The following is a 15672-nucleotide window of genomic DNA, read 5'->3' as shown; positions in this document are numbered from 1 at the left end:
GCATTCACTGAGCATTTGAGCGTCCACCAAAAAGGGGAAACTAACAGCTGAGAGCAGTTACAAATGGTGTTGGTGCCATTCAGCAGCACTCTCCTCAAAGCAGAGGAAGCTGTGCTCGAAGTAGCTTGCTGTCTTCTCCAGCCTTCCTACCACAAGATGCAACATTCTGCACTTTGAATAAATCTGCTGGAGTGGCCCTTTCCTTAAACATTTAGGTTTTTTTGGCCGGGCGCAGTGGCTCACACCGGTAATCCCAGCACTTTGGGGGGCTAAGGCGGGCGGATCACGAGGTCAGGAGATCGACACCATCCTGGCTAACTCGGTGAAAAACCATCTCTACTAAAAATACAAAAAATTAGCCTGGCGTGGTGGCGGGCGCCTGTAGTCCCAGCTACTTGGGAGGCTGAGGCAGGAGAATGGCGTGAACCCGGGAGGCAGAGCTTGCAGTGAGCCAAGATCACGCCACTGTGCTCCAGCCTGGGCGACAGAGCAAGACTCTATCTCAAAAAAAAAAAAAAAAAAAAAAGAAACATTTGGTTGTTTTTTTTTTTTAAGATGTGCGTTTCTTAGGGTGTTTTGGATTTGAAACTAAAGACATTAAAACTCTCTTGGTCTGAGCACAGTGGCTCACGCCTGTAATTCTGACACTTTGAGAGGTCAAGGTGGGAGGATCACTTGAGGCCAGCAGTTCAAGACCAGCCTGGGCAACATAGCAAAGTCTATTGATCTCAAGTCTAGTTGGAAGTTCAGAAGCTCTGTCTTGAAGCAGCTCTCCATGATGTTCTTCCTTAAGTTTTTCCTAAATGCTTGTTCTCGTCCTCAGCAGTGTTATAAGTCATTATAAATCTAAAACTCTAAAACATTTTTACTATAGGACAGTGGTTCTCAAACCTGGTTCTGTCTCAGAACCCCTTTACACTCTTAAAAGTTGCTGAGGACCCTAAAGAGATTTTGTTTATGTGGGTTATGTCTATCAGGGATTACAACTGAGAAATGTTTTTACTTATTTATTTTAAAATGATAAACCCGTTTGATGTTAAACAGTGTATTTTTCTAAAACGTCACTATGTTTTCCAAAAAACATTGTGTGTGTGTGTGTGTGTGTGTGTGTGTGTGAGAGGAATAACACTTTTACATTTTCAAAGATCGCACCACTGCACTCCAGCCTGGGCGACACAGCAAGACTCCATCTCAAAAAAGAAAAAAAATGATTTTAACTGGATCTTGAGCCTTTTATTATTTTATCTTGACACATCTGAGCTCGTTTTCCTTGTGCCTGAATAATGAACATTTATTTTACTGTGGATCTGCTTGTGATTATTTCAGTCCTAGCTGCACCATTTTATAAACCCCCCACCATTTCACAGACCCTGGTCGGAGTGAAACATTCCATGGGGGCTCTGACCATAAGAAACATCCTGCCCAACTGCCTGACTGCGGGAACATCCTTATCACATCCTGCCAGGCAGCAAGCCATACTGCCCAGACCCATCCAGCCCAGACCTATAATTACCCCAGCCTGGAAGCGGCAGTGAGCTCGGGCACTAAACTGGTTATCCGCTCCACGGGTTTTTGCTGGCAATAAACCTGTGTTGCTGTTGAAGCCACCATCTCTCTCCCCTCTCCCCTCCCCCCCTCCCTCTGTGTGTGTGTGTCTGTCTTGTCTGTCTTTAACCCTTGCCTTCCCTTCAAAACCTAATAATTTCCTCTTTTTTTTTTTCCTTTAAAGATGGGATCTTAATACATTGGCCAGGCTGGTCTCAAAATTCTGGGCTCAAGCAGTCCTCCCAAAGTGCTGGGATTACAAGCATGAGCCACCATGCCTAGCACGATTTCCTCTTAGTTTGTCCTTAACTGTCTTTATTTTACCTTCTTTTCTGAATGCCAATTTCCCTGTGTATAGAATTCCCTGTGTATAGAATTCTTGATTGGTGGTTACTTTCTTTGAGATTTTATCTTTATCTTTTCTATGGCTTTATTGTGAGATTTCAAGGTATTGATTTATTTTTATTTATCTGCCTGCTTGGTTTCTGTAAGGCTTTTTGTTTGTTTTTTGTTTTTTGTTTTTGTTTTTGAGACGGAGTCTTGCTCTGTTTCCCTGGCTGGAGTGCAGTGGCGCCATCTCTGCTCACTGCAAGCTCCGCCTCCCGGGCTCACGCCATTCTCTCACTCAGCCTCCGGAGTAGCTGGGACTACAGGCACCCACCACCACACCCAGCTAATTTTTTTGTATTTTTGGTAGAGACGGGGTTTCACCGTGTTAGCCAGGATGGTGTGGTGATCCGCCCGCCTTGGCCTCCTAAAGTGCTGGGATTACAGGCGTAAGCCACCGCGCCTGGCCTCTGTAAGGCTTTTTGAATCTTTGGCATGATTTTTTTCTCATCACTTTTGGAAAATTCTCAGCCATTAGCTCTTCAGATATTTCTGCCTCACCTCTTTAATTTCCTTCTAAGATACCAATTACCCATATGATTGGTATCTTTCCTGCTGTATCCCTCTTATTTTCTGAATGGCTTCTTCGATCTTGCAGTTTATTCTTTAACTGTCTAATCTGCCAAATCCATCCAATTTTTTGTTTTGTTTGTTTGAGACAGAGTCTCGCTCTGTCGCCCAAGCTGGAATACAGTGGCGCCATCTCAGCTCACTGCAGCCTCCACCTCCAGGGTTCAAGCGATTCTCCTGCCTCAGCCTCCCAAGTACCTGGAATTACAGGTGCGCACCACCACCACACCCAGCTAATTTTTGTATTTTTAGTAGAGAAGGGGTTTCACCATGTTAGCCAGGCTGGTCTCAAACTCCTGAACTCAAGCAGTTTGCCTGCTTTGGCCTCCCAAAGTGCTAAGATTACAGATTACAGGCCTCCCAAAGTGCTGAGCCACTGCGCCCAGCCTCCATCCAATTTTTATTTGGCTTTTTTTTTTTTTTTTTTTTTTTTGAGATGGCGTTTCACTCTTGTCGCCCAGGCTGGAGTGCAAAGATCTCGGCTCACTGCAACCCCTGCCCTCCGGGTTCAAGTGATTCTCCTGCCCCAGCTTCCTGAGCAGTTGGGATTACAGGCGCCCACCACCAAGCCCGGCTAATTTTTGTATTTTTAGTAGAGATGGGGTTTCGCCATGTCGGCCAGGCTGGTCTTGAACTCCTGACCTCAGGTGATCCGCTCGCTAAATTTTTTTCTTTTATGATTTCTAGTTCTCTACTGGAAAATATTTCTGAAAAAAAAAATATATATATATATATATATTTTTAAGACTATTAAGCCCAGTGTCTGGAGCCCCTGTGGAAGTTTTATATTATCTGCTGAGAAGAATATGCACAGAATACAGACATAAAAATATGCAGAGCAGGCCGGGCGCGGTGGCTCAAGCCTGTAATCCCAGCACTTTGGGAGGCTGAGGCAGGTGGATCACCTGAGGTCAGGAGTTCAAGACCAGCCTGGCCAACATGGTGAAACCCCGTCTTTGCTAAAAATACAAAAACTAGCTGGGCTTGGTGACCAGCGCCTGTAATCCCAGCTATTCAGGAAGCTGAGGCACGAGAACCGCTTGAACCCGGGAGGCGGAGGTTGCAGTGAGCCGAGATCGCGCCACTGCACTGCAGCGTGGGCGACAGAGTGAGACTCCGTCTCCAAATATATATATTTTATACATGCAGAGCTAAATAATTAACAATAGAAAGGGACAAGACACACCACTGAAATGGGAGACTTGACTTAGTCTTTAACGTCACAGTAAAGAGGGTCCCTTTTCTTAGGTTAACCAACCCTCCCGGTATGTCTAGAACTTTCCTAGTTTCAGCGTTGAAGGTCCCGCGTCCCAGGAAACCCATCAGTCGTGGGAAGATGTGGAGGATTAGCCAGCCCACAGTGACACACGCGGGCACACCCCTAACGCACCCTCTCCCCGCCCCTTCTTGCCTGCGACACCAGGCGGCCGCCGGGGGCGCTGTGGTGCGGAGGCGCCGCTGGGGAGGCACTCTGGCCTTGCGGCGTCTCTGCTGCTTCCGCCTTCCCGGCATCCCCTGCGCGCGCCTGCGCGCTCGGTGACCTTTCCGAGTTGGCTGCAGATTTGTGGTGCGTTCTGAGCCGTCTGTCCTGCGCCAAGGTGAGTACGGGGACCTGGACCTGGCTCCCGAGGTGCGAGACGGCGGGGGCGGGAGGGCGAGAAGCCGCCTTGGCCCCAGCTGATCTTGGGGTTCCACCCCTCCGCCGGCACGCGCCTGCTTTTCTGCCCGGCTTTCCCTTCTCTGAAGGGAGGTAGGCCAGGGTCGGTTGCCAGAGGGAAGCATCGCCTAGGCCTGCGCCGCGTTTCCCTCCTTGGCCTTAACGCGCTCAGTGCACCTGAATTCTCCCACGGTTTTGACAGGGAGCGTACCTTGGCCTTGAGAGGTTCAGCTGCCTAACCCAGAGGCTACGCAGAGTTAGAGAAGCCAGAGTCCAAGCCAAGAACTCTGACTCCACATCCAGTCCCTTCTCTCCTTTATAACTCAAGTTTCCTTGCGCCACACTGCCCTCCACGTTATGCTGTACATGACAACTTGGGTGAGGCAACAGGGAAGCTGAAAAGAGATCATACGGTGCTGAATGAAATTGTATGGAACTCGCGGGTCAGACATTTCCCATTTCCAGTGTCAGGTAATAGTTCGCCCTTAATGTAATGTGCCAAAACTTTGCAGACTTAAGTGGATACAGTAGACACACGTTTGGCCTATGAATAAGATGGATTTTTAAAAGGTCTGGTGCTGTAAAACTGACACACACAGCTAGGAAATGTGCCTGGGCAGAATGGACTCAAGAAAGGGGCCGGCCGGGCGCGGTGGTTCACGCCTGTAATCCCAGCCCTTTGGGAGGCTGAGGCGGGCGGATCACGAGGTCAAGAGATCGAGACCATCCTTACCAACATGGTGAAACGCCGTCTCTACTAAAAATACAAAAATTAGCTGGGTGTGGTGGCAGGCACCTGTAGTCCCAGCTACTCGGGAGGCTGAGGCAGGAGAATCGCTTGCACTCGGTAGGCGGAGGTTGCAGTGAGCCGAGATCGCGCCATTGCATTCCAGCCTGATGACCGAGTGAAACTCCGTCTTAAAAAAAAAAAAAAAAAAAAAAGTAGGGGCTGTCGTTTTATTATGTGTTGGGAATATGTAGCTGGGCGCGGTGGCTCACGCCTGTAATCCCAGCACTTTGGGAGGCCGAGGCGGGCGGATCACGAGGTCAAGAGATCGAGACCATCCTGACTAACACGGTGAAACCCCGTCTTTACCAAAAATACAAAAAATTAGCCCAGTGTGGTGGCACGCGCCTGTAGTCCCAGCTTCCCAGCTACTCAGGAGGCTGAGGCAGGACAATCGCTTGAACCCTGGAGGCGGAGGTTGCAGTGAGCCGAGATCGCGTCACTGCATTCCAGCCTGGGTGACAAAGCGAGACTGTCTCAAAAAAAAAAAAAAAGTAGGGGCCGGACGCGGTGGTTCACGCCTGTAATCCCAGCCCTTTGGGAGGCTGAGGCGGGCGGATCACGAGGTTAAGAGACCGAGACCATCCTGGCCAACATGGTGAAACCCCGTTTCTACTAAAAATACAAAAATTAGCTGGGTGTGGTGGCGGCCTCTTGTAGTCCCAGCTACTCGGGAGGCTGAGGCAGGAGAATCGCTTGCACCCGGGAGGCGGAGGTTGCAGTGAGCCGCGATCGCACCATTGCACTCCAGCCTGATGACCAACTGAAACTCTGTCTAAAAAAAAAAAGGGGGGGCCCTCGTTTTATTATGTATTGGGAACATGTCACTTGTCCAGGCAAATATGGCAACTGAAGTCAAGGGGAAAGGAAGGGAAAGGTATTTGCAAGCTACTGAATAGCAGGCCCCTGTTGCACTGGGGACTAAGGGTAATTTTGTAAGGAGACCATACCAGGGTGCCTGGGCCCGGAGCACAATGTCAGCATGACTCAGTTTCTTTAGTCCCTTCTTACCGTAGTCATTGTACCCTCCCAGTTTACTTTGCCCTTTTCCTTATAGACCCTCATCTTACCTTGTTCTGTCCAAAGCCCCTACCTGGCCTAAATGAGGGCGTCTTTTTAAGCCTTCCTTCTTGTTAGAGTCCCAGTGGCTTAGTATTAATTATAGCCATGAACTGGATATTTGTATCAATTCTGTTACTGCTGTGATCAGTCACTGAATTCTTTTTTTTTTTTTTTTTTTAAGATAAAGGGGGAGTGTCTTGTTGCCCAGGCTGGAGTGCAGTGGCACGATCTTGGCTCACTGCAAGCTCCGCCTCCCGGGTTCAAGCGATTCTCCTGCCTCAGCCTCCCGAGTAGCTGGGATTACAGGCGCCCACCACCATGCCCAGCTAGTTTTTGTATTTTTAGTAGAGATGGTTTCGCCATGTTAGCCAGGCTGGTCTCAAACTACTGACCTTAAGTGATCCGCCCACCTTGGCCTCCCGAGATGCTGGGATTATAGGCGTAAGCCACCGTGCCCAGTCCATTCTCTGGATTTTTATTCCGTACCAGGCACTAGGCACTAGGCTGGGTCCTTTAGGTTTCTCCTTTGTTTTTGTTTTTGAGATGGAGTCTCGCTCTGTCACCCAGGCTGGAGTGCAGTGGTGCAATCTTGGCTCACTGCAAGCTCCGCCTCCCGGGTTCACGCCATTCTCCTGCCTCGGCCTTCCGAGTAGCTGGGACTACAGGCGCCCGCCACCACGCCCGGCTAATTTTTTGTATTTTTAGTAGAGACGGGGTTTCACCGTGTTAGCCAGGATGGTCTTGATCTCCTGACCTCTTGATCTCCCTGCCTTGGACCCCCAAAGTGCTGGAATTACAGGCGTGAGCTACCGCTCCCGGCCTTGGTTTCCTCTTTGAATTGCATTGACAGCCCTCTGGGGGCAGGTGGAGGTATCCCTGTTTCACAGAAAAAGAAACCTCTGGGTTGAGCCTGGTGGCCCACGCCTGTAATCCCTGCACTTTGGGAGGCCGAGGCGGGCAGAACACAAGGTCAGGAGATCGAGACCATCCTGACTAACACAGTGAAACCAAGTCTCTACTAAAAATACAAAAAATTAGCCAGGCGTGGTGGCGGGCACCTGTAGTCCCAGCTACTCGGGAGGCTGAGGCAGGAGAATGGTGTGAACCCGGGAGGCGGAGCTTGCAATGAGCCGAGATCCGCCACTGCACTCCAGCCTGGGTGACAGAGCGAGACTCCGTCTCAAAAAAGAGAAAAAAAAAAACCTCTGAAACAACAGCTAAAGGGACTTGCCCACAGTTGAGAGCTGACCAGGCAGAGCTGGTGTTGGAGCCCAGGATTCCCAGGCTTCCAAACCCATCGGTCCTGTAGAATGCTTCCTTCCCAGTCGTTGCTGAGAGACAAGGGATTCACTCCATGCCTCTGAACTCCTAGTCTGGGGCTTCCAGAAACCTCCTCTGGGTCTTGTTTGGATCATCTGTGACATATTCCCAAAGCAGGGCTGTTCGTTTCTTGGAACCTCACACTGTCAGAGCATTCGAGTAGCTTGAGGACAGGAAATTTGAGGGCGGACTATCTGCAAGGTGTTCCAGGAGAAGGACACAGTCGCATCCTGCAAGGTCAGACCTCAGGCCACCCTCACGACCATCCTTGCCTAAATAAGTCCTCTCATAGGGAAGAGCAGGAAAGCAGGTGTTGGAGGTAGGTTCTCGTCATCAGGAGCATGACGTACAGATTTGGTGTGAGTGCAGTCCTGCTAACCTGCTGCGGGATCCGAGTACCCGCTTTATAGGAGCTTTCTCCAAGTACCCACTTTATAGGAGTGGGAAGCAGTGTAGGAAGTAAGTACGAAAAGCACTTTTAAAATGCTGTTAAAGGGCTAGAGACAGAACTAACCACAATCAGGGCAGTCCCTGCTGTAGCTCCGGCCTGGCCTCCCCATTCTTGCCTGACTCAAGACACTAACTTAGTTCCTGGTTCGGTGCCCTGTTGGTGCTCCTCTGTCCAGTAGCTTAGCTCCCACGGTGGGGGAGGAATCGAAGGGGCTCTGCAGCCCCCACCAGCTGCCCTCGAATCCCATCCAGGCCAGTTCCAGATTCTAAACTGAATTTTCTTCATATTGTCAAAACGGGAAACAAAAAAACCCTAAAGCAAAAAAAAAAAAAGTTGTTAAATTTAGAGAACAGTTTTAGAATAAAAGCTAAATTCTATGCTAGCCTCCAAGGCCCTTAAATGACATGGCCCATCTTCCTTCCCATAGTCCAGCCATGGTATTTTATGTAACAAGCATTTAATATACAGTACCAGACACTCAACATTTGACATAGAGTTATTCTATGTTATTCTCCATAACAACCCCTTGAGGTGGATCCTGTTTTTATCCCTGTTTTACAGATGAGAAAACTTAAGCGGTTTAAGTTAGCTAGTAAGTGACAGCCAGGATTTGAATCTGGCACTGTGGCCTCCCTATTCCTTCCAGCTCTCCGAGTTCATTCTGACCTCGGAGTCTCTGCCAATGCCGAGGATTCCTCTCCCAGATATCCTGACCCTTTATTGTTTCTCAGCTCCTAAAACAATGTCTGGCACCTAGTACATGCTCAGTGCACATTTGCCAAGTGAATAAATGACCACACGATCCGGGTTTCAGTGATTTGAGGGCCGCCATTTGACCTTTGACTAGGTTGGGCTTGTGAAGGATTCAGTGCGGTAAAGCTGACACACACAGCTGCGCAGTGTGGGAAAGGGAGCACACTGCCGAGCATTCGGATTCTTTGGATCCTGAGCAGTGATGTGAAAGGAGCAGTGAGTGGGTGGAGGGAGGGAGGGGTGGAGGCAGCATTACAGCCGCAGCCAACGCGCAGTTCTTTCTTTCTTTTTTGAGACAGAGTCTCACTTTGTCACCCAGGCTGCAGTGCAGTGGTGTGATCATGGCTTACTGCATCTTCAACCACCCAAGCTCAAGCAGTCTTCCCACCTCAGTCTTCCAATAGCTGTGACTAACATAAAAAATTAGCCAGGCAAGCACCACCACACCTGGTTAATTTTTTATGTTTTGTAGAGACGGGGTCTCCCTATGTTACCCAAATTAGTCTCGAGCTCCTGGACTCAAGTGACCCTCCCACATCAGCCTCCCAAAGCGCTGGGATTACAGGCATGAGCCACCACACCCAACCAAAGCAGTTTCCAAGTGAAATGAGAAGTGCTTAGATCTAGTCACTCCTGACAGCTATTTGACTGTAGTTTAATGGACCACTTCAGATGTTAAAAAGCATATTAAAATGAAAATGAGGGCATCTAATTTGCGGTCTATAGTAGAGAGTAAATTGTAAAAGTAACAAAAAGCATTATTTTGAGACCTGCACATACAAGCAAACTGTAAGTTTGGAATTTAATGGCTTTTCCCAATCAAATTCAGTAATTCATTAAGTAACTACCTTTATTGATTAAATAAGTTCTATCTTAATTGGCAGTTATTATGAAGTGACCTCGTTGTCTTATGTCATCTGTTTTGTATTTAGCAATAGACTTCAAGATGGAGATACAGCTGATCAGAGTGTGCTGAGCCTGGCATTAGTTTCACAAGGAAATCACCATGCCCTGGCCATATTCTTTTTCAGCTTCGAATGCGACATTCATTACATGACGATGAGAAGATACTAATTTTTCGATTTAGACATTAGAGTCATGTGCAGTTCAGGGCATGGCATCAGGGTGGGAGAGGTGCTGGATGAGCTCTGTGATGTAAGGAAGGAGAAGTGGCTAGGATGGCCAAAGGTGGGAGGAGGGGGCCCTGGGGATGGGTTGAGTTGGAAGAGCTGTGGAAAGCATGAGTCCCAGGCCGGGCCCTGTGGCTCACACCGTAATCCTAGCACTTTGGGAGGCCAAGGTGGGCAGATCACTTGAGGTCAGGAGTTTGAGACCAGCCTGACCAATGTGGTAAAACCCCATCTCTGCTTTAAAAAAAAAAAAAAAAAATGGCCAGGCACAGTGGCTCACACCTATAATCTCAGCACTTTGGGAGGCCAAAGCAAGGCAGATCGCCTGCACTCAGGAGTTCGAGACCAGCCTGGCCAACATGGCAAAACCCTCTCTCTACTAAAAATACAAAAATTAGCCAGGCGTGGTGGCACGCATCTGTAGTCCCAGCTACTCGGGAGGCTGAGGCAGGAGAATCACTTGAACCTGGGAGTCAGAGGTTGCAGTGAGCCAAGATTGTGCCACTGCACTCCAGCCTGGGTGACAGAGTGAGACTCCACCTTAAAAAAAAAAGAGGTGTGAGTCCCCTGTGAGTGCAGAACGGGTCTGACATCTGACACAGGCGAGGCTCCCTAGCAGTCATGGGAAATGGGGTTGAACTTAACAAATTAAAATCTTTTACCAGTTAGGTTTAAAGCAATCATCATTCTAATTTTTAATCACTGTGTTCATTTTCAGATGCTTCAAAGTATTATTAAAAACATATGGATCCCCATGAAGCCCTACTACACCAAAGTTTACCAGGAGATTTGGATAGGAATGGGGCTGATGGGCTTCATCGTTTATAAAATCCGGGCTGCTGGTACGTTTCCTTATGTTTGATTTTTCTGAGGTCAGGAAGAAAATTATTTTCAAAAAGAATCACAATTCACATTGTAAAGGAACTATGGGTTCTAACTAGGTATGAACATTAGAGCTACCTACAGTCCTTCGTAAAAAATACAGGGAGCACATGTCAGCTATAAAAGACATTTGGGGACAGTGGGGAATTTTTTTTTTCTTTTCTTTTCTTTTTTTTTTTTTTTTTTTTGGAGACAGTCTCTCACTCTGACGCCCAGGCTGGAGTGCAATGGCACGATCATGGTTCACTGCAGCCTCCACCTCCTAGGCTCAGGTGATTTCAGGTGATTCTCCCACCTCAGCCTGCCAAGTAGCTAGGACCACAGGTGCCCGTCACTATGCCCAACACCACCACACCTAGCTAATTTTTTTTTTGTACTTTTTTTTTTTGTAGAGATGGGGTTTTGCCATGTTACCCAGGCTGGTCTTGAACTCCTGGGCTCAAGCAGTCCTCCAATCTTGGCTTCCCAAAGTGCTGGAATTAACAAGCGTGAGCCACAACACCTGGCCCAATTGGGGAACTTTGAACAAGACTTTAATATCAGAATTGTGAGTTTTCTTAGGTGTGAAAGTGGTATTACATTCGTTTTAAGAGATGAAGGCTAAAATATTTAAGGTATGGGTTCATGGTATGTGGTATTTCATTGCACCTTTTCAACTGTTCTGAATATTTGAAATTTGTTTGTAAAAAAATTTGGAGGGGAGGAATAACCACTTGGTTCTCAGTAGAGCAGAGCAGTGTGGCCCAATCACATGTTACTAAGCCATTGATTACAAAGAGAAAAGAGAAAACTTTATGCTGCAAGACTAAAGTTTAGGACATTGTAGAAGGTAAGGAGCCCTGCAAATTTGAAAGGGCTGTTAGCTGTTCATAGAACATCTTTGGTAGGAATTTTACCATTTCTTGGCTATAAGACATTTTCTGAAAGCTTCCTGAATTGCTTTACCTAAGCTACAATGCCTTCAGCTAAATGTTAATTTTGACAAAGGCATTTTTGTAAAGCATTGATATGACTGCTTTTTTTTCCTTCCTTTTATTTTAGATAAAAGAAGTAAGGCTTTGAAAGGTAAGATTTTTGCTTCTGAAAATGGTTGGGAATGGAAAACAGCATCATGTCTTTTCAGGACAAGGTATATCGTTGTTCTCAATTGAAATCGAAACACAGTTCAGTATATATGTAAGGTGCAGTTGAAATGCTTCACAGCTTGAAGTTTGCTATGCCTGCTGGGAAAGAGAATTCTGAATTTCTGCTTTTTATAGTCAAGTGGATCAAGTAAAACTTCCAGGAGTAATAGAGGAATGGATTAATTAGAGGTAGTCGATATCATCACCAATAGGGAAGCACAAGTGAGCTGTGCAAGCATGCTGTCCTAGAAGTTCCCTAATGATGTCGTTTTATTTTGTTTATTGTTTTTTGAGACGGAGCCTCGCTCTGTCGCCCAGGCTGGACTGCAGTGCTGCGATCTCAGCTCACTGCAAGCTCCGCCTCCCAGGTTCATGCCGTTCTCCTGCCTCAGCCTTCTGAGTAGCTGGGACTACAGGCACCTGCCGCCACGCCTGGCTAATGTTTTGTATTTTTAGTAGAGATAGGGTTTCACATAGCCAGGATGGTCTGGATCTCCTGACCTTGTGATCCACCCGCCTCAGCCTACCCGTAATGATGTGTTTTTAATGGTTTGGTTTTGTTTTTTGGGTTTTTTTTTTTTTGAGACAGAGTCTCGCTGTGTTGCCCAGGCTGGAGTGCAGTGGCACAATCTTGGCTCACTGCAACCTCCGCCTTCCAGGTTCAAGCAATTCTCCTGCCTTAGCCTCCCAAGTAGCTGGGATTACAGGTGCCCGCCACCATACCCGGCTAATTTTTTGTATTTTTAGTAGAGATGGGGTTGGCCGGCTGGTTTCAAACTCCTACCTCAGGTGATCCACCTGCCTTGGCCTCCCAAAGTGTTGGGATTACAGGCGTGAGCCACTGCGCCTGGCCTTTAATGTATTTTGAAAGAAAGCGCCTTATAAATTTATGCCAGAGTGACAATGAAACTGTAGCCATTTGAATGTTACACAAACCCAGGACTGGCTACATGAGTTTGAGGAGGAGGTGTTTCCCTGCCTCTCTCTTTGCGCTGTGGGTGACCACTGCCTGTCTGCTGTCATTACATGAACCCTTAAGCACTCTGGGTGTTTCATATAGAAATAATCCTACTTTTCAATAGTATTGAAAGGTGTCATTTATCTTTTTGGACTGTTGATCAACTTCTTTTGATACTTGTTTAATAAATTACATCCAACTTGTTCCTTCCTTCTTAAATCATATTTATATATGCATCTCTTTCAAAAGCTTCAGCGCCTGCTCCTGGTCATCACTAACCAGATTTACTTGGAGTACATGTGAAAGAAAACGTCAGTCTGCCTGTAAATTTCAGCAAGCCGTGTTAGATGGGGAGCGTGGAACGTCACTGTACACTTGTATAAGTACCGTTTACTTCATGGCATGAATAAATGGATCTGTGAGATGCACTGCTACCTGGTACTGCTTTCAGTGTGTTCCCCCTCAGCCCCTCCGGCGTGTCAGGCATACTCTGAGTAGATAATTTGTCATGCAGCGCATGCAATCAGAATCTCACTGAGCCACCCATCATTGTGAAATAATTACCTCAGTTGTACAGGACTTGGTGATCAGGATCCAGGCACTCACTTGTATTCTACTGCTCAATAAACGTTTATTAAACTTGATCCTGCTACTTATCTTGTGGCCTCTCTGAGCCTCTTGTTTTCTTATTTGGAAAATGGAGATGTTAATTATGTAAGCTCTAACTTACAGTTATTATGAGGATAAATAAGAGAAAGATTTAAACTATGAAGTCCTTTAGAAATAAGGTAGCATTCAATGACATAGTAGTTGAAATTATAAGCTGTAGGAGAATATTGCATCAGGAAATAATCACAAGGCAAAGTACATAATAAGCCAATTGAAAAAAAAAGCCAATTGATTCTAGTTAGGCTAGTATCAAATGCATACTGCATAATATTTGTCTCCATCTAAGACAATTACCAAGATCCCTAAATTGTGCGCTAAAAAGATTCTAAAGCAGCAAGCATGGGGGTAAAAGTGAGTCCAGTTTGAAATCTGGCACTCTGCAGGTGGGTAGGAGAGCAGCTGTGGAATGGGGGTGGTGGCTGCACCCTGGGTGTCCTGTCCTCTTGAGACCATCCTGTTTATCATCTGTGTCTCTGGCATTTAGCCTCATTAGGTCTGGCCCATGGTAGATGTCCAACAGATGACGGAGATCTCTCTGAGCCTCAGTTTCTTTTGTAAGACAACCAAAACCTGTCATGGCTTCCTCCAACAGCCTCAGGGTTGTTGGGCTGTGTGAGAAGTTTGCAGGAAAGCATTACACAGCATCAGTGGAAGTCAGCGTCAGGTCGTGTGAGATTCAGAGGGTTTGGTTCTGACACAGGAATCACATTTTTCCTGCGAACGTATTTTGTTCTCTTCTGCCTCCAGAAGATGAATCTGCTGTGGTACAGAAAGGCCCTACCTTTAAAATTATCCATCTGCCCAGCTGCTCAGGCTTGAGAGTGCATTAGAATCACCTGGAAGGCCCTAACAGCCAGCTGGGCCCCAGTGTTCTGATTGCACTGCTGTAGGAAGGAGCCCAAGAACTTGTATGTCTAACAAGCATCCAGGACATGCGGATGCCAGGACCCCAGCTGGAAAATTTCTAATGATACAAAGAACCCAGGCCTGCCCTATCACAGCCTTCACATCCACTGCACTGGCACCAGGCTCCAGCCCTGTGTCACGCATCTTAGTGCATTTAGTCCACCTTAGAACCTAGTGAGGCATCAGTACAGGCCCTGACTTTCAGAACAGGAAACAGGCTGAGAGGCAGTAACACGCTACAGATGTCGCAGTTAGCAAGCACTGGGGCTAGGACTTGAACCCCCAGAACCTGAACTCTCCTCCAAAGGGAGGTGAGGACGGATGGGAGCTGCCCTCCCCACCCCCACCCCCCACCTCACCCCCGGAAGCAGAGATTGATGTGTCTGACCCAGGAGGGCTTCCCCACAAAGGCTGGGCCATTCCTCTTCTCCCTTTACTACTTAAGGCTTCCTTTGGCAAATTACCAGGGTAGGTTGGGCCCAGTGGCTCACGCCTGCACTTTGGGAGGCTGAGGCGGGCAGATCGCTTGAACCCAGGAGTTTGAGATCAGCCTGGGCAACATGGCGAAACCCCATCTCTACAAAAAATAACAAAAATTATCCAGGCGTAGCGGTGTGCGCCTGTAATCCCAGCTACTGGGGAGGCTGATGCTTGAGGATTGTTTGAGCTTAGGTCGAGACTGCAGTGAGCCAAGATCACACCACTGCATTCCAGCATGGGCGACAGAACGAGACCCTGTCTCAAAAAGAAAACAAAAAATAATTGCATTTGCTATCCCAGAACTCACTCACACACTGAATCCCTCGGGGTTTTGGAAACAACCAGGTCTTGTCCCGAAGGCAGCCTGTAGGTGGAGCTAGAGAATGTCACCTGGGCTTCCCCGTGGGCGAGGAGCACGGGGCCAGGAGGATCTGTTGAAAGGAGCATTTGGAGGGCGGTGCCAATGGGCAAGAGGTATGCACAGAGAGCCACGGGAGTGGGCAGGGCCAGTTCAGGAAGGAATCCCAGAGGCTTTTTGTCCCAAAGCCTACGCATTCGTGCTGCTCTGACTTAATGCAGTGCTCAGCTGTGCTGCAGAGTAACGACAAAGGCTGGGAGGAGAGGAAGTGGCTCACAGGCAGCTGAAGGTGTCATTTTAAACAACGTGCTCTAAGTTAGCCTCAGATGAGACTCTAGGAGAAGGCATGGTGTTTCTTCTTGATTGTCACTGTATCCCAGGGGTACACGCACCCCAACCAGAGGCTTTGGAGGGTGTGCTTCCTGCCACCCTCAAGGGAGTTGTCTCTGTCAAGCTAACGGATCCCGAGTTCCGGGGTGCCAGGCCGTAGTCTGCTTCATTTTTATCTGCACAATAACCCGTGAGCCCATACCATCACCCCATTTCACAGCTGAAGAAATGGATGCCCAGACAGGATAAGTAGTTTGTACTAGAGGATAACTACCTGGCTAACAAACCAACTAGTTAACTGGT

At 47.6% G+C, this 15672-nt stretch overlaps 1 protein-coding gene across 2 annotated transcripts, besides 4 other annotated features; it reads left to right on the top strand.

The window, feature by feature from the left end:
• Positions 3711 to 4386: an enhancer, noted in NCBI's record as "H3K27ac-H3K4me1 hESC enhancer chr14:104387521-104388196 (GRCh37/hg19 assembly coordinates)". NCBI's record gives its function as "activates a minimal SCP1, AML or CMV promoter by ChIP-STARR-seq in naive H9 embryonic stem cells {active_cell/tissue: H9 hESC(naive)}" and the evidence as "EXISTENCE:reporter gene assay evidence [ECO:0000049][PMID:30033119]".
• Positions 3848 to 4017: a silencer, noted in NCBI's record as "silent region_6183". NCBI's record gives its function as "represses an Ori minimal core promoter by ATAC-STARR-seq in GM12878 lymphoblastoid cells {active_cell/tissue: GM12878}" and the evidence as "EXISTENCE:reporter gene assay evidence [ECO:0000049][PMID:35858748]".
• Positions 3904 to 4076: a silencer, noted in NCBI's record as "fragment chr14:104387831-104388003 (GRCh37/hg19 assembly coordinates)". NCBI's record gives its function as "represses an EF-1alpha promoter that drives an FKBP-Casp9 reporter gene in an ReSE screen in K562 erythroleukemia cells {active_cell/tissue: K562}" and the evidence as "EXISTENCE:reporter gene assay evidence [ECO:0000049][PMID:32094911]".
• Positions 4041 to 13282, top strand: ATP5MJ (ATP synthase membrane subunit j). Of its 2 annotated transcripts, NM_001127393.2 has the most exons (5): positions 4041 to 4100; positions 4362 to 4630; positions 10381 to 10504; positions 11586 to 11609; positions 12876 to 13282. In NM_001127393.2, exons 2-5 carry the CDS (start codon positions 4580 to 4582, stop codon positions 12902 to 12904), a joined length of 228 nt encoding a protein of 75 aa, NP_001120865.1. In that variant the 5' UTR covers positions 4041 to 4100; positions 4362 to 4579; the 3' UTR covers positions 12905 to 13282. The 2 variants fall into 2 exon arrangements, with proteins under 2 accessions (NP_001120865.1, NP_004885.1); NM_004894.3 differs by lacking the exon at positions 4362 to 4630.
• Positions 14284 to 14784: an enhancer, noted in NCBI's record as "H3K4me1 hESC enhancer chr14:104377123-104377623 (GRCh37/hg19 assembly coordinates)". NCBI's record gives its function as "activates a minimal SCP1, AML or CMV promoter by ChIP-STARR-seq in naive H9 embryonic stem cells {active_cell/tissue: H9 hESC(naive)}" and the evidence as "EXISTENCE:reporter gene assay evidence [ECO:0000049][PMID:30033119]".

This window comes from Homo sapiens, chromosome 14 (genome assembly GCF_000001405.40).
Source record: "Homo sapiens chromosome 14, GRCh38.p14 Primary Assembly".
Lineage (NCBI taxonomy): Eukaryota > Metazoa > Chordata > Mammalia > Primates > Hominidae > Homo > Homo sapiens.
The sequence above is the reverse complement of the archived record's forward strand: the minus strand, read 5'-3'. Positions and strand labels throughout refer to the sequence as shown.